This window comes from Homo sapiens, chromosome 8 (genome assembly GCF_000001405.40).
Source record: "Homo sapiens chromosome 8, GRCh38.p14 Primary Assembly".
NCBI lineage: Eukaryota > Metazoa > Chordata > Mammalia > Primates > Hominidae > Homo > Homo sapiens.
This window is the reverse complement of record NC_000008.11, coordinates 128039603-128063586: the sequence shown is the minus strand read 5'-3', so window position 1 is coordinate 128063586 and position 23984 is coordinate 128039603. Positions and strand designations below refer to the sequence as shown.

Sequence of the window (23984 nt, the reverse complement as noted above, 5' to 3'; positions counted from 1 at the left end):
ATTGCTTGTGTACATATGTGTGTGTGTGTGTGTCTGGCACACACATAAATCTCAAAATTTATTTATTTATTTTTTGAGACAGAGTCTCACTCTGTTGCCCAGGCTGGAGTGTAGTGGTGCAATCTCAGCTCACTGCAATCCCCACTTCCCGAGTTCAAGCAATTCCTGTGTCTCAGCCTCCAGAGTAGCTAGGACTGTAGGCGTCCTCCACCGCACCTGGCTAATTTTTGTAGTTTTGGTGAGATGGGGTTTTAACATGTTGGCCAAGATGATCTTGAACTTCTGACCTAAAGTGATCCTCCCACCTCAGAATCCCAAAGTGCTGGGATTATAGGCTTGAGCCACTGTGCCTGGCCTGCGTGTGTATTTAAGCATCTGCAACGATTACAGATGAAACCTAGCAATAAGAAGTCATCAAACTGTACTGCTGAGTGCTGGTTTTCATGGTGCCAGGAAAGACCAGGATAAAGGGGTAGGTTGGAAAGAAAGGGTAAACTAATTCAAAAGGCCAAGTACTGTGCTAGGGATTTCCTAGTATGTCTCACATCAATCCACTGGGGAGAGCATTATCTGTCCCTTTCTTCCAGTGAGGAAACCAGGACACAGAAAAGATCTGTGACTTGCCCCAGATACTGCAAGATCAAACCCTGACCCAGCTAACCACAAAGTTCACATTCAGTGCCCTGTGCAGTGCTGCCTGAAAGTTCCCTAGCTTTAAACACAGGAGGGATGGGAGAAGGAAGCCTGTTCTAGAAAGGGGGAGACTGAGGAAACTGATCTCTCAAATCAGAAATAACAACCCAAGTAATTTCTCAACAATTTAATTCACAAGCAACTAGTGGTTATTGGAAAAAAATAAATCACAGATTAGCAATAAGAAAAAAAATACACAAATAACCACATCCTCCCCCAAGTAATGGTGTTTTTATAGGTCTATATTTTTACTAGCAAATACATATTTTTTCTAGCCTACAAATGACATGATACTATTTTAGAAATTTTATCAAAATTTATATAATTTTGCCTTTTTAAGAACATGGATAATGTGTTTGCTTGCCCAGTTCTCACCTTCTGTGAATTTATGTCAATCCATACATTTCTTTCCACCTTCTAAGGGGGAAAGAGGAAATCCTTCACTTCTTTTTTATTTGTTTGTTTCCTGTTGTTGCCTGCTCCTCTGAACAGGTGCATTTAGGAAGGGTTAAAGAGTATCCTAGGAAATGTTGTGTTCTGGTAGATAATGTGGCCTTCAGAAACACACTAAACAAAAATTAACTTGGTTTCTTCCTCCTCATAGATGAAAATGAAGAGTAGGTTTTGTAGCAATTGAGAGAAAATAATTTTTTAAAATTATCTTAATGCCAAAGGAAAAAGCAGCTGTCCTGTCTCCCCCTGCACCGCAGGGGGCAGCCCTCCAAGTGCCCCCATCACCCCTTCCAGGCATTCACCAGTTGGGAGAGTGAAAAATAGCCTCCTTTTCACTCCCCTGTTGTTAACCAGGCTCCCTATTGAGATGTAGTTAATCACATCAATTAAGAGCTTTTCTTGCACGTGGCCTTGCCTGCCAGGCACTGGCCCTGTGTCCATGGGAAGGTGGGTAAGATAAGCAGCCAGTCAGGTCATGTGATAATTAAAATACAGATATTTTGCTTTTTCCTCTCTTTCTATGTTTTTTCATTTGTACATTTTTTTAAAAAATCGGGCATAAGTCACATGCCGTGCAATGCTCAATTTGTAAATAAACAGTTTGATGAGTTTTGACAAATGCAAGTATTCAAATGCACCAAACCAGCAAGACACAGAACATTTCCCTTTCCCAGAAAGTGTTCCTGGGCCCTTCATAGTTTCCTCTGCCATCGTCCCAGAGAAAACCACTGTACTGACTTCTAGCACCGTCATATGAATGGAGTCACGTTCTGTGTTTAAAGATAAACACGAATAATGAGCCCAAGAACGAGCAGCTTCTAGTGGGAATGTAAAACAGGGTAGACACTTTGGAAAAGACTTTAGCAGTTGCTCAAAAGGTTATACATAGAGTTACCATATGACCCAGCAATTCCACTCCTAGGTATACACATGCCCAAGACAAATGAAAACATACCTCCATACGAAGTCTTGTACGAACCTTCAGAGCAGAATTAATCATAACAGCCCCACCCCCAAAGAAACAACCCAGTGTCCATCAACTAATGAATGAATAAATAAAATGGGGCATATATTCACACAATGGAATATACTTTGGGCATAAAAAAGAATGAAGTATATGTTGTAACTTAGATGAACCTTGAAAACATTATGCCAAGTGAAGAAGTTCCTCACAAAAGACCATATATTCTGTGGTTCCATTTACGTGAAACGTCTACAATAGGCGAATCCATGGCCAGGCATGGTGGCTCACGTCTGTAATCCCAGCATTTTGGAGGCCGAAAGGGGCAGATCACTTGAGGTCAGGAGTTTGAGACCAGCCTCGCCAACATGGCGAAACCCCGTCTCTACTAAAAATACAAAACTGAGCTGGACGTGATGACACATGCCTGTAGTCCCAGCTACTTGGGAGGCTGAGGCAGGAGAATCACTTGAACCTGGGAGGTGGAGGTTGCAGTGAGCCGAGATCACGCCACTGCACTACAGCCTGGGTGACAGAGAGAGACTCCGTCTCAAAAAAAAAAAAAAAAAAAAAAGTAGTTGCCTAGGACTGGGGATAGAAGGGAGATTGGGAGGTGATATCTAAAGGGAACAGACTTTCTTTTGAGATGAGGAAAATATTCTAAAATTGGTAAATTGTACGGTATGTAAATTATATCTTAACAAAGCTGTTTAAAGAAAAAAGAACATTCAGAATCAAAAAGAGTAAAGACAATTGTAATGGGCAGAGAAGACAGACCAGTTTTCCTTCATCGGAAGTTTAACTGCAAAAGTGTTTGGCATTGTGGCCTAAGGACCCCATGCCACCTGGGAAGCATAATTGGTGTTCAGGAAAGAAGGTCTCCTTCCCTCCCATGAGAAGGTTGAGGAGTTGTCTGCTTTCCTCAGGAGTCCCTGCCCTGTTCCCAGAGTTTAAACTCCGAGAGTCCAGGAACTATTCATCAGATTCATCTGTTTATTCCACAAACATTTATTAAGCTCATGTTTAGTAGGAAGTACAAAACCACATTTAGTCCTGACATTGCTATGAAGTGGCTGCATTTATAGGGATATCTTGAATGCCTCTGTGTGTCTGGCCCTGCGTTTAGCAGGTGATCCTAGGAGACTAGAGTGGTGGAAGGAGCTCATCATGAGAGCGAGACCAAGAACTTTGAGGCCAACGAACCTGGTTCTAAATTCTTTCTTTTTGACGGAGTCTCACTCTGTCGCCCAGGCTGGAGTGCAGTGGCATTATCTGGGCTCACTGCAAGCTCCGCCTCCTGGGTTCACGCCATTCTCCTGCCTCAGCCTCCCCAGCAGCTAGGACTACAGGTGCACGCTGCCACACCCAGCTAATTTTTTGTATTTTTAGTAGAGACGGGGTTTCACCATGTTAGCCAGGATGGTCTCGATCTCCTGACCTTGTGATCCACCCGCCTTGGCCTCCCAAAGTGCTAGGATTACAGGCATGAGCCACCACGCCCAGCCTCTAAATTCTTATTCTACCATACATTAGTGCATGACTTTCTTTTTTCCTGCCTCACAATCCCTCACCTGCAAAGACCAATGACTTACCCTATGGCTGAACGATGAAGAGTCCCAGTTCTAGGAACAAGACCCCAACTCTACCACTTCCATGCTGCATGTGGCTTCAGGTAGTTTCTGAACCTCTTTGCATCTCACTTCCCCATGTGTAAAATGGGGATGGTATGATAACTGCCAACACTATGCGGGATTGGATGAGCTTACACATGTAACCCAGGGGTCAGCAAACTCTTCCTATAAAGTGCCAGATACTCAATATCCTGGGCATTGTGAGGCCACCTGGCCTTACTGCCCCTCGTCATCTCTGCCATTGTAACATAATGCAGCCATAGGAGATATGTTAAGAAAAAGGGTCTGCTATGTTTAATAAAATGTTATTTATGGACATTGAAATTTCCATTCTCATTTCATGTAATTTTCATATATCACAAAATATTCTTCTTCTCTCGATTTGCTTCACTACCACTAAAAAATGTGAAAACCATTTTTCACACTAGGATTGTACAAATACAGTGGTGGGCACAGATTTGGCCCATGAGGCATAGTTTGACCACCCCTGGTGGACACGTAAACAGTGTCCAACACATAGTCAACTGCCCTGCCCAGCCATTGAGCCTGGGCAACAATGGCTGAGCATTCACCTGTGTTGAGCTGCGTATTGAGCCTTTCCCTGCCATATCTCATTCAAACCTTATCATAATTGTACAAAGGGGGTTCTCACATGAAAAAGCCAGGACTCAGGCGAGAAAAGAAGCAGAGTCATTGTAAATCCAGGTCTTTCTGACGTGAGCCATTGCTTCTATCCATGATAAAATATGTGCTGGCCACCGGGACACAACAGGGAACTGACTCACTTGGGCTCCCCTCCAAACAAGACAAATCATGATTTAATTCATCTGAGATGTGTGTTGCACAAAGCAAGGGCTGGAAGGAGGAATAAAAGGGCACTCACTACACAGTAAGCAGTGAAGGAGACCCTCTAAAGAAGGGATGATGGCCTGAGAACAGCCATGCGTCTGGTGCAATACCAAGTGCCAAACAGATGAGGCTGGAAAGGTAAATCCACCCTGAAGCCCTGCTGTGGAGGGCTCGAGGACATGGTCGTCTGTCATGCTGGGGGTGGAGGGAGACACTGGTCCCCACTTTTTGAAAGGAAACTCCGCAACCTCAATAGCCTAACCAGCCCTTGTTTCAGCCATTCTAGTTTATGGGAATATGTCCTCATAAAGTAGGAAAACATATTCACAAAGATTTAGCTTTAGGAATATTCATACCAACACTGTTTATAATAGTGCCAAAGTTGAATTCATTTCCTAAATGTCTGCCTAGACACTTAGAAAAATACAAAGGGTTTTGCCACTTAGGTCTGAACAACGGTGAAGTCTGGTGTCCAAGCAGTCAAATGGTGATGTAGTAGAAGTACACATGATGATGTCAAAGTATATTTATCATGTATTTAGTAGAAGAGCTATTTACAAACTAATATATATACCACCATACAACTATACACACACACACACACACACACACACACACACATGCATCAGTTTGTTTAATTAGTTACATCTAAGTGATATAAGGGTTTTTCACTTTTTCTGGAAGAGGTATGTACTGTTTTATAATAAGACGTGAAATAAAACTGATGTTGGACAAGAGTTTAAAACTCCCAGGGATTTAATTGGTTAGGTCGAATCACTATTCATTAATTTACCCAATACATCCTTAGGAAGGATCCATCACAAGCTAGGAACTGGGTTATGCACTGAAGAATCGAGAGAGATGAGACAGACAGAGCTCCATGTTGAGTAGGAAAGCTGGTCAGGTAACCAACTCCATTCATTCAGTGACGCTGATGTTCTACAGTATTTGCAGAGAGGAGCCCCAGCTCCTGATGAAGGGTCCAGCCTCTTACCCTAATTTGATCTCAGGGTTGGCTTACACCCTCACACAATCAGCTTTTGATCAATTTGACGGAAGACCTTCTGGTATCCATGGTAAGACTAGTGTTTGGATTGAAAGCTAGGCCAATGATACCACCATGTGAGCCTTTCTTTTCCTCACTCACAAACAGGGTAACCTCTCGCAGCTGTCAGGATAAGCCAAGGCTCAGGAAGTGTTCTGCAAATGGCAAGGCCCCGCACACACCGTGGGGGAGATTTAATGCCGAGATCCGAACCTCGTTCTACAAGGATGACGACCTGGAATTTAAACGATGATGGATGTCAAAATGCAGGGAGGAAAGCATGTTTATGAACTGAAAGGCTGAACAGAGACAGGCAGTGAGCAGTGGGATTCTAGGTCACCGTGCCTTGGAGGGACGGACACCTCATTCTGTACCTCCCACGTCAGCCAGTGCCAGGGTGGCTCCTGACTTTCTGGTGCTTGTTTGTAACCCCAAAGACAATCTGTACATTTGAAATTGGATAAAATATCCCTGCAGGTTTTTGTTCACATATATTAAAGAGAAGTATTTAGGAAGAATTTAGGACCTGGGGCCATGAAAACAAATCTTAACATATCTCCCTGCCAGTATAGTAGAAAGAGAAAGGGGTTTTTCCGGTTAGGTCATAAGGGTTTGAATCCTTGTTCTGTGCCCTTTTGTAAGCTATTATCCCTTAGCTTCGGGGTAATAATACCTTTTCTACATGGTAAGTAATAAGAAAAGCAACGTTTGTATACAGTATTAATGCTCAATAAAGAGCAGTTGTAATTTTCTTAGTGGGAAGGCCTCGGGGAAGTTACAAAGCAATGAGGTCATATCACCCAGAAGCTGGACCTGGGGTAAATCAGCTCACTGTGAATGGGAGGGAAGCTCAGGGTGGTCTGGTTATCTCACAGCTAAACTTGACGTCAGCTCAGCCTGGAAGTGGTGAGGTGAGAATACCCTGTCTTTCTCAATGATGCGGGAAGCTAAACTAAACTAAAACTCCAAATGTGAAACTGGCCCTGTGTTCTGCACTCCTCTGAGATCATGGTTGTGCATGAAGAGAATGCATTCAATTTTTCTGGGGAGGGAAAGGAAAATGAATTAACCAGAGAGTAAAGAAGATACTGCTGGGGCAAGCATGGGCTGCCAGGGACCCGCCACGATCAGAAGCGCCTATGACGTTTCTATCAGAATCACCCCGGAGCAACTCGTGAAATAACCAGATTCTAGGTCAATCTCTTGGAGTCAGCAGGCCTGGGGTGGGGCCCAGGATTCTGCATTTTACCAAGACCCACTGATATACTTCTGATGCGTCCCAAGGGCAGTCTTGGCAACCATTCGTGTGGTGGAGAAGGCACTAGGCATTGGCCTCGGGAGGTCCCAGTTCAACACCCAGCTGAAGACCAGTTCTCAAGCACAGTGATAAAATTTTCTCAAATACACTGGGGCAGGGCCCAGGTTAAAGCAGCCTGGGACTCGTGTACAGGCTGCAAACATATGTATAAACAAGGAAACATCTGTGCGAGCTATGCATGCAATTTTATGTATACACGCAATGAATATATATTGTATATAGAAATATATACATATGTAGGTGTATACGCAGACACATATGTATGCATATATGAGTATACATACCTGCACATTCAAATGTAAATACATGAACGCATGTATACAGGCATGCATATGCATATAGGCATGAATACACACACACTCCTATTTCAATTAATCCTCACACAAGTTCCACTTCAGTACCAACATTATCCCCATTTCCTTTATAAGGAACCTGAGGCATGAAGGAAATAAGAAACTCACCTAAGGTCCCATAGCTAGTCAGTGGCAGAGGCAGGATTTGAAAAGGGCAGACTGGCTCCAGAGTTTCTGTTCAGAGGTCACTACATTATTACAAACCAACCCAAGAGGTTAAGCAGAGTAGAAGCTGAGAGTCATAAACCTGAAAAGCAACTTGTGCCTGGGGTGGACTGTGTCCAGTAGTGAGTGATATGAGTCCTCCCATTTCTGTACATGCATATTGTTTCTCCCATCAAGAGTTGGAGTTGGTTTCCCTGTCTTGAGTCTGGGCTGGTCTGTGGCTGCTTTACCAGGGGAAGGTGATGGAAATGATTCTGTCCTAGGAAACTTTCACATCTATCCACTTGGGATTCAGCTACCCAACCTACCATAAAGAAGGTTGAGCTAGACTGCTCGTGATGAGAGACCTCATGGCAAGACAGATGCCACCAGCCACTCCAGTCACCCCAGCTGAAGCACCAGACTCCTAATTTAATGCAGCCACACACCGATTCCAAATGCTCCCATGTGGAACAGAAGAACCACCAGCAGAGCTCAGCCAACTTATAGAACTATGAGAAAAATAAGTTGTTTTAAGCCACAACATTTTGTTATGGTTTCATGTGCAGCAAATAGAGAACTGATTCATGCAGCTACATGGCTTGCAGTAAAGTATAAATTTTAGAATAAGCAGCATTATGTGTTGAGCACTAGGCCAGGCAGTGTATTAAGTGCATTACATTCATTGTCTTGTTTAGTGTTTATTGGCATTAATGTAGGAGGTGTTAATATTATTTCCATTTTATTGATAAGGAGACTTAAGCCCGGAAAAGTTAAGTAACTTACCCTCAGCATTGGCAGTTCTTGGAGTCATACCTAAATCTGTCTCATTCTAAAGTCTGCATATTATGATGTCCAAGGTTTTTAAAATAAAAATAAAACAAATAAACACAAAGCTTGCATGTAATATCAAGGTTCTCCAAAGAAATAGAACCAATAGAATGTGTGTGTATGTGGGTGTGTGTGTGTCTGTGCATGTGTGTGTCTGTAGGGACATAGAGAGATTATAAGGAATTGACTCACACAATTGTGAGGACTGTTAAGTCTAAATTCTACAGGGCAGGTTGGCAAGATGGAGATCCAGAGAAGCCTTGATGTTGTAGTTTTAATCCAAAGGCATCCTGGAGGCAGAATTTCTACTTCCTTAGGGAACCTCATGTGTTTTCTCTTAAGGCTTTCCACTGATTGGATGAGGCCCATCCACATTATGGAAGATAATGTGCTCTACTCAACGTCTGCTGATTCAAATGTTAATCTCATCTGAAAAATACCTTCAGTGACATCTGGACTGGTGTTTAAGGAAAACCTGGGTAACTACCCAAGGTGACAGATGGAATTAACCATCACATGGCATTTCTCTCACTCTGTGATCTGTGTCCCTGAAAACCTGGGCCCAGCATTCCCAGTCACAGTCATGATTCACACAAGCAGCAAAATAAATGAAAACTGCAGTCAGAATCTGTCAGATTAAACATGGAGTGCCCAAATCATGTGGCAAGAGGCAACCAGCCACATTGAACCCATCAAGGAATGAGCCCAGAAGACAAGGAGAACTGACACAGTTGAAGCAGGCCATCAGTGTTTCAATCAACAGGTGCAAGGAACTGAGGATGGCAACAATTAGGAAGCCATGGTTGGTTCCAGGAGCCAGCTTTACCCTCAACTTGCTGTGAGACCTTGGGCCATACCTCACCTCTCTGAGCCTCAGTTCTCCATGTAAGCTTGCTGTTCTGCAAAGAACTGTCAAGTTCTTTCCATACTTCTCTTCAACTTCATCTTAGGCACAGGTCATTGCCATAGCAACCTCCTTTCAACTGTGGGAAAAAAATCTAACAAATCCCATTTTGCCACTACAAAGAAAGTGGGGTACAGAGTGCATCATGCACTTCCTGGTGGCAATAAAGTAAGTCACTGGTGAAACCTCAAAAACTTGGGAACCCCCAAAACTCAGGCTCTTCTCTTCCTATTTGTTGGGAGAACCAATAGGAGATTCTCACCCTGTTGTCACACACTGGATGCTAACTTAGCATTTGTAGGAATTCACATCCTCCCACCACCTCCTATAGTCACCAGCAGATATGCAACCCAGAACCCAGACTGGCAAGAGGTTATCACTCACACTGGATTTTGCTTTTTTGTCCCCACTAAAGGCAGCTGTTTCCTACAAATTTGTGTCAATCAGGCCAGGAAGTTTCTTTTTCCCTGCAATCCATTGTATGCAGGAAGATCAGAGGGCCCTGTCAGATACAAGGACGGAACCAGCTGGGCACTTGGAGATACAGGCTGGCTGCCCTGGCCTGGCCTTGCCCCAACCCTTCTGGTTGCTCAGCCAGTCCACTGTGCTGGTGCAGCTGTACCTGCTGACAGATGCTGAGAACAGGAGACTTGTTATGATAATTAATTAGGAGCACTGGCATCATCGTAAAGAGCCTCTGTTCTGTTCCAAAGCCAGCTAAGAAACTCACATCACTCACATCCTTTCCTGTCTCATAAACATGCTGCCTCTAGTCCACTGAGGGGCAAGGGATTGAGCTTGTTTCCTAGGGGTAACATCTCTAGTAAAACAAAGCCATTCTGAGGAGCCTGTGTGGACATCAGGCAGGACTACATCAAATTCTCATCTCATGGATGAAAAAGCTAAAGCTGATAATAATACCTATATATATTAATACCTATATATATAATACCCATATATATAAAATACACATATATAGGTATTATATATACAATATATATAAAATACATATATATGTGTGTGTGTGTGTATATATATATGTATATATAGCCCTCCAAGATGGCAGATGACACTGTCTGAGCACCCACTATAATCTATACTCTCATTTTTTCCACCATTAATGTAAGATTAATAGGAAATTATTAATGCATTTCTTCCATGTTGATCTAACAAAACCAAGACTTAATGAAGTTAAACACTTTGCTCATAGTCACTTAGTGATGAGTGAGCTCAGATCTCAATCTAGCTGTGTTAAATTCCTAGATCCAGGTCCCCTCCTCTTTACTATGCTGTTAACTCTGTGCCCAGAGCACAAACTGCAGTGAGAACTTACCCAAGAAATAGGATAATGACCCTTTGTTTCATGCACCACCCATTTGCTGAGCATCTTTGCTGGGGTGGTTACTAGAAGAAAGCACTAGAAAGGTCTGGCAGAGTGGTTAGATACACAAATCCTGGAGCCACTGTGAGGTTTAAAATCCTGGTTTTACCATCTACTGTCTTCATAGGAGAGCTAGACCACATTACTTAGCCTTTGTGTGCCTTGGTTTCTTCATCTGTAAAATGAAGTGACAGTATATCTCAGTTGGGTCTAATGAGGATAAAATAATTTGGTAAACATAAAGAACTTAAAACTGTGCCCTGCACATAGTGTGACAACAGCACTGGTTTTTATTGTTATGACTGTGGTAAACACAATTGACCTCATTCTTCCCCTTACAGGATCCCAATCTAGTGAAGGAATACAGATGTGAAATAAACAAAACTAAATGTATCATTTTAAATAATACTATGAAGAGAAGAGTAATGTGAGCAAGATGGCAGAATAGTAGTCTCCAGTGTCTATCCCTTCATAGAAACAGCAATTTGAACAACCACCCATGAAAAATATACCTTCACAAGAGCTAAGAAATCCAGATGAGCAATTACAGCAGCTGGGTGGAGCATAGAAATAATAAAAGATGCATTGAAAAGGGTAGGAATAAGAGTTTCACATCACTCACATCACCCTTCCCCCAAGACAGCACAGTGCAGCATGAAGAGAGAAACCCTTCATGTGGAGGAAGGAGAGTGAAGTAAGCACCCAACATCAGTGTAGATCCTAGTACCAGGTTGGCCTTCACAGACGCATGCTACAGACATGAACACAGTCAATAAAGCCATCCCACTGTATCTCAGTGCCAGTCTGGCCCCCAGGGACCCAGAATCTAGGCCTGTACCCATGGACTCAGGCACCAGGCCAGCCCGCTTAAGAATTCCAGCAGTAAACTTGCCCTCAGACCCTGCCAGCCAATCCACCCAAAATATCTTGACTGGTGAACAGCTTTCTTGGCCAAAGCTAATTGGTAAAGAATAAAAGAGATCTCTACTTCTTAAAATATGTAGACATCAACACAAGACCCCAAGGGTTACAAATAGACAAGGAAACATGACTAAAAAACAAACTAAAGCACCAGTAACCAATCCTAAAGAAATTGAGACCTATACATTGTCTGACAAAGAATTCAAAATAATTGTCTTGAAGAAACTCAACTTAAAGAGAACATAAACAACAAAATCAGAAAAACAATACATAAACAAAGTAGAAGTTCAACAAAGAGAGATAAACCATAAAAAAAGACCCAAACAGAAATTCTGGTGGTAAAGCAAAATGACTGAACTGAAAAATTCTATAAGGAACTTCAGCAGCAGACTTGATCGACCAGAAGATGGAATCAATGAGGTCAAAGACAGGCCATTTGAAATTAGTCAGAAGAATAAAAAGAAAAAAAAATGAAAAAGAAAACCTATGGGACTTATGGGACACCATCAAGTGAACTGAAATACACATTATGGGAACTCAAGAGGAGGAATAAAAGCAGAGGAGAAGGTGATAGAAAGTTTATTTAAAGAAAAAAATACATAGAACTCTCCAAATCTGGAGAGGAAAATAAACATCTCAATCCATGAAGTCCAAATAATTTGTAATTTATTAAACATAAGGAGGTCTTCATTGAGGCACATTAAAGCCAAATTCTTAAAAGTTAAAGATAAAATTATGGGCATCCATCTGAAGGGAAGAGTCCTCCTCTCCTTGGGCACAGAACTTCCCCCAGTCCCCAGTCAGCACCAGGTTCTCAGCTACCTATGTCTTATGCAATCCAGGCTTGGCACAGATTCCCAATAATGCAACCTCCTCACTGGATGATAGGCTATGTGAAGACAGAATCTTCATTTTATGCATCCTTACAACTCCAGTGTGAAGCACAGACACAACATATCATGTGCACTCAATCAATTTCGTTCAATGAAAGAACAAGTGACTCTCTTTCATTCTCTTGGAGTTGAATACTCAATCGTCCCATAAATGGTTCCAGTGCTCAAGCTGAGAATCTTACACCACAGTCAATGCCCTGAAGAAATTGAGACTGTGCTGGGAAGTCAGACACAAAAAGAAAGAGATGAGGTCCACTCTTGCTGTCATACATGAGGAACTAAGAGTCTTTCAAACAGAGGAAGATGACTTTGTGGCAGAAAAACCCACAGAGGAAGTGAATGATGGAATGGAACTTGAGGACAGGTGGAGTTTGAATAATCAGTGGGGTAGTCAATTAGAAGGTTAGGGAAAACCCCATTCATTTATCTGACAAGTCAAGCCCCAGTAGGAGCCTTTAGACAGGTTCTTCTCACAAGAACCCTGCAGGTAGGAACTATCAGCCCAGGTTAATGTCAAGGATACAGAGGCTTGGAGTGGTGAGGTGACATTCCTAGGGTCACAGAGCCAGCAACTGTTGGAGCTGAGGTCTGAACCCAGCACTCTCTGAAGCCAGAGCCCATGGATCTCTCAGGCATCCAAGGGAGAAAAAACAATGGGATCAAAGCACAGACGTCAAGGAAAGCAAGTAGTGTTTAAAAGACAAGAAGTGAGACCTGTTTACCAGAACTGATTCCCCACATAAGAGGCTCGGAGGCATTCAGTCTTTATTCACAGGCTGGAGTGATGTTGCGGTGGACTTAATGCCCCCTGAGAGGTCTGACTTCAAGCCTGTGGGTGACACGGAGCTACTGTTTTTGAGTTGGACAGGGACATGGTCAGAACTGTGCTTTCAGAATTTGGACTTGGCCACTGGAAGAAGAGACAGTTAAACTCAAGTTGCCCAACATGAGGCATGGGATGGGAGAGGTTGGGGAAGGGATGGAAGGAAACAGAGTGGGCACCAACAGGAAGGAAGCAAAGTCAGGAACTGCTGGCTGGAATGGGTCCAGGGAGAGGGAAAACCACTTCTCCTTCCTCTTCTTATGATTGCAAGATTAGTACTTGAGAATTAGGCTGCACAGGCCAGGACTTCCCAAAACTCAGGAGGGAAAGAGCCCAGAGCACGTGTCTCCAATGGAGGCTATAGTTCCAAATCACGTGATCATCGGTCATCTCCTTGCCCACCCTGAAGCCCTTGTCCCCAGTGTACTTTGGGCTCAGACAGTCCCTCAGGGGATACAGCAGTGTCCTTTCCTTCAGCATTCAGGGCAAATGAGAGGCAAAGAGATCAATGGAATGCAAAAGCGTTACTATAGATGAGAAGTCGGACGCACAGAGAGGTTCCACCACTTGCCTAATATCACACAGCAAGTACATGCCAGAATCAAAATTCAAACCTAGAGCCCCGGTGTAAACCTTACCTGAATCAGTCAGGGAGCAGCAGGGAGGCAGTGGAAGGATAGGCCCCCTGACCTCACTCCCCGCCTGCCTTCCCATCCTGCCAGTGCCTTCCAAACTGATACCAGAGAGCATGGCAGCCCTGTGTTGCATCCACCCTGATAATGCATCCACACAGGTCAGCCTTCTGGGCACAAAACAAGGCAGAGAAGAGCAAGGAGTGGACCTGGAGGGGCCCACGGAAGCTCCCCAGCACCCACCACTCCAATGGCCCAGCCCCTGGTAGGTCTCCAGTGCCCTTCACCCTACAGAGCCACAGAATCCCCAGACCTTGACGCTGCAGCTAGGGCCCGCCTGCCTCTCAAGAGAAGGGCAGGGCCCCACACAGGCAAGTGCTCTGCCTCCGCGCAAAGCTGGGCATGCGTCATCACACTCCCGCCTTCCTTCCTCATTCACTCTCCCTTGCCCTGCTTCTATCAGTGGCTCCAAGACGCAAACATCTCGAAATGACCTGCTTCTGTGTAGGTCAGCTAACAGAAGTGCTGTCTTAAGAAATGAGGGCCAGCTGATGCCCACTACCAGACCCAGCCAGCCCCTCCCAGCCTCCCTGCCAGCCCTGCACATGGAGGCCTGGCGGCCAGGAAAAAGAAAGGGCTCCTATCTCTGATTCCTCAGGGCCTCTGATAAGAAATGTCATCCCTTGCTGGGTAATATTACCAAGCCAGATAAAAATCTCTATCAAGCTTAAACATATGGCTGGCTGCAGAACACAGAGTCCAGTGGAGAAGGGTAATTTATTTGCTTAAGCTGAAAACCCTGGGCAGCCGAAAGAAGTGCCTGAATAAAAGAGTAAGAGCCAAATTATAACCTCTTCTGACTTGGCATGGGGATTTTTCCCTGGGAAGGATGAGACACCTGAGAACAACAGGGGGCTCTCCACACATTTCTCCTGACACAATAAGCGCTTTCGCCTTCCTCTTTCTTCAAAGGGCACTTTCACTTATGCTATCACATTTAATCCTCACTACAACCTCAAGAGAGGCATTTTTAGCTTCCTTTACAGATCAGGAAATTGAGATTCAGCAAGGTTAAGTAAAGTGGCCAAGGTCACACAGGCAGCCATGCTGGAGCGAGGACCCAAACCCCAGCAGGTCTGACTCACCATCAGATGGGGAAGCTGATCCCAGCTTCTGGGGAGGATCGGCTCATACATCCACTTAATCAGCGAAGTCAGATCTGCCCAACTTAACTGACAATGTCAGCTACACATTGTAATCTTGAAGGTCCATTTCAAGGCTCTCCCGTCTCCTTGTTTCTCTGTAGCCTAAAGGATAATGAGAAAGCCTTGCAGAGCACAGAAGCTCAAGGAAAAGGACGGGAGGCCAGGGATAGTACCCAGGAGAGCAGTGAGTGACCTCAGGGCTTAGATTCCAGCCTCATATGCTCAAGGAGTAGCAGGTAGAAGGAAACTGTGGAAAGAAAACTCCTCTCTCTGTTCATTCATTCATTCACAAATATTAGTGGAAAGCCTATTGTGTGCCTTCTCTAGCTTGGCCTTGGAGATACCAATGCAAATGGGCAGGCTAGGACCTGCCTTCATGGATCGTCTGTCTTCTAGAACTGACTTACAGGTCAGTAAAGAGGCAATAGCCACAGAGTGTGTTAAGTGTGTTTGTGAATGCAGAAGTTCACGTAACTGATCTGGGGTTGGTGGCTGTGCATTAGTGTGTAGCTGTTAGCATACTCCACACAGTGTTCTAGGCACTATTCTTTAAAAAGTCAGCATTGTTAAGGTTGACTTTGCTCTTTGGTAGTTAATATAGCTTCAAGATTGTTCCCAATTACTTCATATAGCCACTAATTTTTTTAGATTAATTTTTAATTCACAAATAAAAATTGTATATATTTATAATATATGATGTGAAGTTTTGAATGATGTATACATTGTGGAATGGCTAAGTTGAGTTAATTAACAGGTGCATCATCTCACATACTGATTTTTTTTTACTAATTTTTTAAACAGCTGTATTAGTGTTCCATTTTATCACAACTTAATCAACCAATCACTAACTAATGAGCATTTAAGCTGAGTCTCGTTTTTCTGTGTCAAACAATGTTGTAATGAAGATTCTCTTCTCATCATGCATGTGTTTCTGCATGAAAAGTTCTTAGGATTCGCCCAGTGTTTTTTAAGCTTGGCTTTTCCTGTGCTCTTCACTGCAGCAGTAGCAAGGTCTCAATAGCGTCCTTTACAAGATAATGGCTCCCACGCGCCCATCCTCTTCAGACCTGGTGGGGCTCTAGTAAAAGGGTTTTAGTTCTCTTTAGTGAGCAACTGCCACCATTTCCACAAAAGCACACAAGAAAACAAAAACGTTTCCATTCTGGTGGCCAAGAAACCACTCCTCTTATCCCTGCCTCCTCTGGCCCATGGTGACTTAGTTCAGAATCAAGCGGAACTTAGCAGCAAGACACCAACCTCTCTTCTCACAGGTCATTCCTAGAAAGTGTCAGCTTTCCTTTTCTTCTGGACTCTGAGAGATTCAAGAACACAGAAAGCCCAAGGCTAGCAAATCTCCACTGAAGCTCAGCATACATCAAAAACTAAAGCCTGGTGGAGAAGGCACAGCAAATGTCAACTGCACACTTGGGAGCCCAAAGTACCTTGGAGGAAGGCATCAGTCGTCCAACAGAACACCTTTGGATAGTCAAAAGATAAAGAGAGTATGACTCCATGGCTGGAACAAAGTAGAACCTCAGACAAGAGGACATCCTGTTCATGAGAGGTTGGCCATCCACTGAAGACACTGTGGGGGACCGTGAAGGCAGAGCAGACATGAGAAAGGCAGAGCCCCACTCCTTGGTCCCCTGGAGAAAACCAAAGAAAGGGCTGTAATCTACGTGATTAGAGATGGAGAAACTAAGAGCCTGGGGAACAAAGGAAAGGGCCTTACTCATTCTTCCTGGACAAGTTAGAGAAGAGGATATTTGAGTTAGATATTGAAGAGTGAACATTTAGAAGACAGAGAAAAGGGAGAGGACCTTCAGATGGTACTCACAGAGCAGTGTGGCATGGAGAGTGAAAGAATGTTCAGCCAGTGGCCAGACTGTAAAGGGTATTTCTCAGGTGCTGTGCTAAGGAGCTGGGCTTCTCCCTCCAGATGCGATGGGGGGCTGTGTAGGCTCCAGAGCAACAGAATGACAGATTAGAACTATGCTTCTCCATCACCATGGAGCACGAACTAGTGAGAGAAGACTCTCGGCCATGTGGGAACCAGTATCCTACAGTTCTAAGAACATTCCACAAGGCAACAGATGCAGTGGCTTAAACAGAGGCCTACGGAGCCAGGCTCCCGGACTTCAGATCCCAGCTCTGCCATTCCCAGGTTGAACAAGTTACTGACCGACCCCGTGGACAGTTTTCTCATTTGGAAAACGGGGATATCAGCAGAGGCCTCTTAGGGCCATTTTGTTGGTTGTGAGCTGGATGAGTTAATATAAGTAAAGTGCTTAGGACAGTGTCTGGCACACAGTAGGGGCACAACACAAGACAGCTGTTGGGATGGCTGCCATCTCTCTTGTCCCCTTGGTTTCCTCTTTCAGCATTGTCATTTCTTCTGAAAGGTGAGCAGCTATGAATCTGAGCAAGAGTGAGAAGGTTCGAGCTAACACTTGCTTAGGAGGGCTGGAACTACATCTGAAATAGTTTGGGGTCTGTAGCTTCTTGTTAGTCCCCAGAATCCCTATAACAGGGATGCTCTAAGACTGTGGTCCTCAAACTCCACTGCATAATAGAATCACCTGGGGAGATGTTATAAATCCAAATGCCCAGGTCCCATTTCAGACAAAATCAAAATCTTTGCAGCTGGGGTACTAGCAGCAGGATTTAAAAAATCCTCTAGGCAATTCCAAGCTTCAACCCAGTCTTAGAACAACTGATCTAAGAGTCAAATCCAACAGGAAAGGAAAACATGGCAGAGAGGAAAGCATCCCCATCCTTGAGCAGTGTCATCTGCAGAACTACTTCAGCTCATTATGAAGCCGCTCCTCATTACGCCTTACAGGGCAGCTCGGTTGTCACAAGGAGCTAACAGACTTGAAAGTTGCCCTGGATCACTGCTTTTGTAACACACCCTTCCAAAGTCTTCTGGAAGCAGGTAAGGGTAGAAAATACCAACAAATACAGCCATGTGGGTAACTCTTGTGGAAAAAGCATTGGGTTGCGTGCAGACAGCTGGTTCTGGCCCTAGGCTCTTTCACTAATACTACGTAACTTAAAAAGCATATAACACTTATGCATCAGTTTCTTCAGTAGTGAAATAAAGATAAGAACTGACTTACCCATTAGATAAGATGTTGTGGGGTACAAGCCAGAAGACATAGGTCAGCTGTGGCAAAGCATTTTTATTTAACATGTTTTCCAGGTCTTCAATGGAACATAAAAAGTTTAGGAGAGAGAAATGTCCCCTTAAACATTTTTTTTCAATGAGAGAAGGGAGGAGTCAAGGAGTAGAGTTGGTCGGCCACATGAAAGCTCCCTTCAGAGCAGGCTGCCGTGGTGCCTGCCCACAAGGGGTACAAGTGGGGCCAGTGATAGGGCAGGAGCTCAGGGTGTGTCCAAGGGCTGCCCCAGCAAAGACGTTAAGATAGGATATGTTATCTGGGAACAATGGAACAACTGTACCGTTGTCCTAAACCTGAATCTGACAAGAGGGGATAAGACTCCAGGAAGCATGTCCCCAAACCACTGGCCAGAGTGGCCCCAACAAACCACTGGTCCATTTGTTCATTCCTTTATCTACTTACTCATTCATGTACCTTACAGTAGTGTATGTCAACTACATATCAAGAATTGTATGGATGTACAAGATTGTAGGAATGCTGGAATGAATAAGGCTCACTCCGCACCCTCAGGAGGGACAAAGATAAGTAGGGCAAACAAGTGGTATTTAAGTACAACACAATGTGCTAAAGTATAATAAAATAACAAGTATAATAGTAAATAGCCACCACTCATTGATGGCCAACTATGCACAGGCACCATACTTGGTATTTTATATTGAACATCTCAAATCCTTGCTATCTCCTCAAGGTAAGGATCTTTCTGGGGGCAAAGATGGTTGTTATAAGCATTATTACCTTTATTTAACATTTACTGAGTCCTTACTGTGTTGCAGGCACTGTGCTGAGGTTTTGTTTGTTACCAGCAGGGAGGTAGTAATGATTTAGATTAGAGCATGGGCTCTGGGCCCAGATTTGCCTGTCAGTAGCTGGGTGATTTTGAGTAAGTTACTTTACATCTCTGTGCCTGAGGCTGGGTGTGGAGGTCATCTCCAAAATAGAGACTTATGCATTTAACAAATATTTAGTAGGCACTTACCATTTTCCAGGGAATAAAGCACTTAATAAAATTAACAGAAGTCTCTGCATTCCTGGGGTTCATGAGGGGTTGGGGGTGTCAGACTGTCAACAAACAAATAAACAAGTAACTATATGCTGGGTCAGATGATGATAGGTGCTATGGTGATCAATTAAGATAGAAAAAAAAAGGGGAGATGGAGGTGCGAGGTGGGTGCTGTCTGCATAGAGTGGCCAAGAAAGGCTTGTCCAATAAGATGTTTGGGGCTAGGTGCGGTGACTCATACCTGTAGTCTCAACACTTTGGGAGCCTGGGCAGCAGGATCACTTGAGACCAGGAGGTTGACACCAGCCTGAGCAACATAGTGAGACCCCTTCTCTACAAAAAAAAAAAAAAATAAATAAATAATAATAAAAAAATTAACCGGGTGTGATGGTGCATGTCTGTAGTCCCAGCTACTTGGGAGGCTGAGGCAGGAGGACCACTTGAGCTCAGGAGGTCAAGGCTGCCGTGATTGCACCACTGCACTCCAGCCTGGATGACAGAGCAAGACCCTGTCTTTAAAAAAAAAAAAAAAAAAAAGACAAGATGTTTGGCCTCCTTGTGTATGTGTGTGTGTGTGTGTGTGTGTGTGTGTGTAGGAAATAGTTTGGGAAAATAATACTATATAGCAGTTAAAAAATAATGTATGTGTACACACACATACGGACACACAAAGATCTCCAAAATATAATTATCGACTGAAAAAATTAAGATGTTGAAATACTTGATTTCCCCCAGCTCTGAATGCCATGGAGTCCACAGAGCCAGAGACAGCAGGTGGAGGACACAGGGATCAATCCCAGGGGGATGGGCTGCTGAGGCTCCTGCCGTAGGCCATCTCCTTCTATGAGCGAGCGAATGCCATGCCCTCTGTCTAAGTCTCTAGGCAACAGCATCTTGTGACCCAGCTTCCAGTCTGATTTTGTTCTCTTAGTTCCTTGAAGATACTTACACTGATTTCAAAACAAAACAAATCAAAAGAGCTTCCCTCACCTCCTGACCCCCAGCCTGTGAGAAGCCATGGAGAGCAATTCAGGAATGCTGAGTTGCAACGTGAAGTCCTAGGGGGCTTTATCCAGCTACAGATCTAACCCACAGGGTGTTTCAAATATTTTTGAAGTTATTGCCTACATCCAAAATTCAGAAATTTTCATTATATTCAAAGTCCAAAAATTAATTTGGCAGCACTGAATGCACCCTCCCACAATACAACATTAAGTGGATGCTAATGGAGGGCTGGCCCCTTTATTTAGGGAAGGCACCCTCCCATTGACCCATCCCCACTCCTTAGAAAGCACCTAGTCCAAGGCTGAGCACAGTGGCTCACGCCTGTGATCCTAGCACTTTGGGAGGCTGAGGCAGGCGGATCACCTGAGGCCAGGAGTTCGAGACCAGCCTGGCCAACATGGTGAAACCCTGTCTCTACTAAAAATACAAAAATTAGCCAGGTGTGGTGGTGCAAGCCTGTAATCCCAGCTACTTGGGAGGCTGAGGCATGAGAATTGCCTGAACCCAGGAGGCAGAGGTTGCAGTGAGCCAAGATTGTGCCACTGCACTCCAGCCTGGGTGACAGAGCAAGATCTCTCTTAAAATAAAATAAAATAAAATAAAATAAAATAAAATAAAATAAAATAAACCACCTAGTCCAATCTCCTCATAGATGGTGATCCCACTGCTCATACAGGTGAGAAGGCTCACACAGCAAGCCAGGGCAGTACCAGAACTACCATTACCAGTTAGTATTCCTCACACAAAGACCTGTGTCCCTTCCTCCTGCCAGGCTCCACTCCTTCTTCTTCAGGACCAATTACAGTCTTAGAAAGTAGCTGATCCACTTGACATTGGGTGACATGGGGCTAGAGCAAGGCCCTGGGGAGTATCCTGTGTCCTGCACATCTTGGGGGGAAGTGGTGTTCTTATACTGTATGATGGTCCAAACACATTGCAACACTATCGCCATAATTAGCCCAGGCCTGGTCATCAGGAGGACTCTTGCTCAATATTATTCTTTGCTTCTTGGTTTCTACATCCAGAGAAATAATACTTCTCTAAAAATCAATTGTCCCCAGCAACCCACCTACACAGTTCTTGGAAAATATGGGTTAAACATTCTGCCTTACAAAGAAAACAAGGAACAAAGAGGGTGAAGGAAATTCATCACCATGGTCCTGCACTTCACATTATTCACACCAACCATTTTTCCAGTCACCGAGTTCAAATGACCCTGTCCCTTGGGGCTGCAAAACTATTTGTACCAACACTTGCCATTAAGGAAGCTTCACATGCTTTAATAAACGGGATTACTCAGTACCAAGAGATGCTAAATGGCTTCAAGAGACTGGAGGTTAGGGGAACTGAAAATGGCATGGAAGGAAGATGCCAGAATAATCAATTTCTGACACAGGAGAAGGAATGGCTGGATGCCAGTCTGCTGCCCAGAACACTGGAGGGACTGTGATACAGGAACTGCAAAGCATCAGTCAAATACATAGGTGGCCCATGAGAATCCCTTCCCAAACTTCCAGAAAAAGTAAGGAGATAGATGGCTCTCCATGATGACATCCAAACTGTTTTAAGGAGAGGCTGCATCTAGTAATAGGGGATGCTTGACACATAGCAAGTGCTCAGCAACCAATACAAACACACACATACTAAACACATGCACACACGAACAACACACACACAAACACACACGAACAACACGCACTCACAAAATACACACACATTCACCACACATGCACACAACACACACACACACACCAAACACATGTACACACACGCAAACACACACAAACACACACACAAAATACACACATACATTCACCAAGCACACACACGTACACAACACACATGCATACACACACACACACATACCAAACACATACGCACCAGGCACACACACCAAACACATATACACGCCAAACACATACACATGCACACAAACACACGAGCACAAACACACATGCACACAAACACACACATACACATATGCACACAAACACAAACAACACATGAGCACAACACATACAAGCATAAACACAGATGCACACACATGCACAAACATGAGCACAACACAAACATACAAGCATAAACACACAGATGCACACACATGCACAAACACACACACAAACAACACACACACATGCACACACACAAACACACATGCAAACACACGAACACAAGCACAAAACACAAACACATGCAGAAACACACATACAAGCAGAAACACACATGCACACACATGCACAAACATATACACACAATCACACACAAGCACACACAAACATATGCACAAATACACACAAGCACAAAACACACAAACACACAGGCACTCAACACACACGAGCACAAAGCACACAGAAACACAAAAGCATAAACACACACAAGCACACACAAACATATGCACACAAACACACCCAAGCAGAAAACACACACATATACAAGCACACACACATATGCACACATGCACAAACATATACACACAAACACATGCACGTAAACAATACACATACAAATACACAAGCACAAATGTACATACACAAACACACAAGCACAAACAACACACAGAAGCACTCAAACACAAGCACACACACACAAAAGCACAAAAACACATACACACACACAAGCACTCACACCCAAACACATATAACACACACAAACATACACACATAATTTCTGAATCTCTTAATCTGTGCTGTGCGGCCCCATGGACTGGCTCCTCTCTGCCCACAATTGTCTCTTGATGATCACGCTCATATTTAAGGCTTAAATAACTTAAGTCCCAAATACAAATCAGAATATCCATTTTTGCATAAATTTTGGATATCCAAATTTATCCCTTTCTTCCATGTGTTAGGATTTTCCAGAAAAACAGAATCAGTAGGATGTGTGTATGTTGAAGAGAGAGACAGAAAGAGAGAGATTTTAAGGAGTTGGCTCGTGTGATTATGGGGGCTGGCAAGTCCAAACTCTGCAGGGCAGGCCAGCAAGCTGGAGCCCCTAGGAAGAGCTGATACTGCGGCTTGAGTCCAAAGGCAATGTGGGGTCAGAATTCCCACTTCCCATTTCCTCAGTCTTTTTACTCTTAAAGCCTTCAACTATTGGATGAGGCCCATTCACATTGTGGAGGGTAATGTCCTTTCCTCAAAGTCTACTGATTTAAATGTTAACCTCATTCAAAACGTACTCCATGTGACATCTCAACTGGTATTTGATCACATGTCTGAGTACCATGGCCTGGCCAAGTGGACACTCTGGATCTGTACATGCAGCTGCCTCCTTACTGTCTCCACTTGGATGTCTGACCAACATCTCTAACATAACAATTCCACCTCTATCCACAAAAAAACAAATAGGCACTCCTGCTCACCCTGAGGATTGGCCCATATCAATAAATGGAAACTTCATTCTGTAGTTGCACAGGATAATCAACAATCGGGATCATATTTCTTACGGCACCCCATAGCCAATCCACCAGCAAATCCTACCTTTGAGATATATTCTGAATCTGATCATGTCTCACAATCTCCTCTGCTTCCACCAGGCCAGGATTACTGCAATACCCTGGATTACCACAATAGCCTCCTGATTGGTCTGTCTTTCCATCTTTGCCACTTCCAGTCCACTTTCAACACAGCAGCCAGAAGGATCTCATTAAAATGCAAATCAGAACCTGCCAAAAAGTTTCCGATGGTCCCATCTCAACAGAGAAAGAGCCAAAGTCCTTACCAAGACTCCCTCTGAGCCATCTCATCCCTATCTTTTTTGC

At 43.9% G+C, this 23984-nt stretch overlaps 1 long non-coding RNA gene and 1 other non-coding gene across 52 annotated transcripts in view, besides 7 other annotated features; both read right to left on the bottom strand.

Moving 5' to 3' along the window:
- PVT1 (Pvt1 oncogene) overlaps window positions 1–23984 on the bottom strand; it is a 306733-nt gene that overhangs the window by 37670 nt on the left and 245079 nt on the right. The gene's annotated exons all lie outside the window — the stretch shown is intronic.
- Window positions 1131–1778: an enhancer, noted in NCBI's record as "OCT4-NANOG hESC enhancer chr8:129074055-129074702 (GRCh37/hg19 assembly coordinates)". NCBI's record gives its function as "activates a minimal SCP1, AML or CMV promoter by ChIP-STARR-seq in naive H9 embryonic stem cells {active_cell/tissue: H9 hESC(naive)}" and the evidence as "EXISTENCE:reporter gene assay evidence [ECO:0000049][PMID:30033119]".
- Window positions 13240–15356: an enhancer, noted in NCBI's record as "fragment used in the MYC e4 reporter construct". NCBI's record gives its function as "activates a MYC promoter by reporter assays in K562 erythroleukemia cells {active_cell/tissue: K562}" and the evidence as "EXISTENCE:reporter gene assay evidence [ECO:0000049][PMID:27708057]".
- Window positions 14044–14296: a transcriptional cis regulatory region, noted in NCBI's record as "e4 or promoter|chr8:129061305-129061825 region (GRCh37/hg19 assembly coordinates) targeted for CRISPR interference". NCBI's record gives its function as "positively regulates MYC gene expression in K562 erythroleukemia cells {active_cell/tissue: K562}" and the evidence as "EXISTENCE:mutant phenotype evidence [ECO:0000015][PMID:31784727]".
- Window positions 14175–14720: an enhancer, noted in NCBI's record as "H3K27ac-H3K4me1 hESC enhancer chr8:129061113-129061658 (GRCh37/hg19 assembly coordinates)". NCBI's record gives its function as "activates a minimal SCP1, AML or CMV promoter by ChIP-STARR-seq in naive H9 embryonic stem cells {active_cell/tissue: H9 hESC(naive)}" and the evidence as "EXISTENCE:reporter gene assay evidence [ECO:0000049][PMID:30033119]".
- MIR1207 (microRNA 1207) lies at window positions 14349–14435 on the bottom strand. Its single transcript, NR_031612.1, has one exon. It is a non-coding gene; the product is annotated as a microRNA 1207 (primary transcript).
- Window positions 14909–15092: a silencer, noted in NCBI's record as "fragment chr8:129060741-129060924 (GRCh37/hg19 assembly coordinates)". NCBI's record gives its function as "represses an EF-1alpha promoter that drives an FKBP-Casp9 reporter gene in an ReSE screen in HepG2 liver carcinoma cells {active_cell/tissue: HepG2}" and the evidence as "EXISTENCE:reporter gene assay evidence [ECO:0000049][PMID:32094911]".
- Window positions 17395–18866: an enhancer, noted in NCBI's record as "fragment used in the MYC e3 reporter construct". NCBI's record gives its function as "activates a MYC promoter by reporter assays in K562 erythroleukemia cells {active_cell/tissue: K562}" and the evidence as "EXISTENCE:reporter gene assay evidence [ECO:0000049][PMID:27708057]".
- Window positions 17875–18376: a transcriptional cis regulatory region, noted in NCBI's record as "e3 or promoter|chr8:129057045-129057585 region (GRCh37/hg19 assembly coordinates) targeted for CRISPR interference". NCBI's record gives its function as "positively regulates MYC gene expression in K562 erythroleukemia cells {active_cell/tissue: K562}" and the evidence as "EXISTENCE:mutant phenotype evidence [ECO:0000015][PMID:31784727]".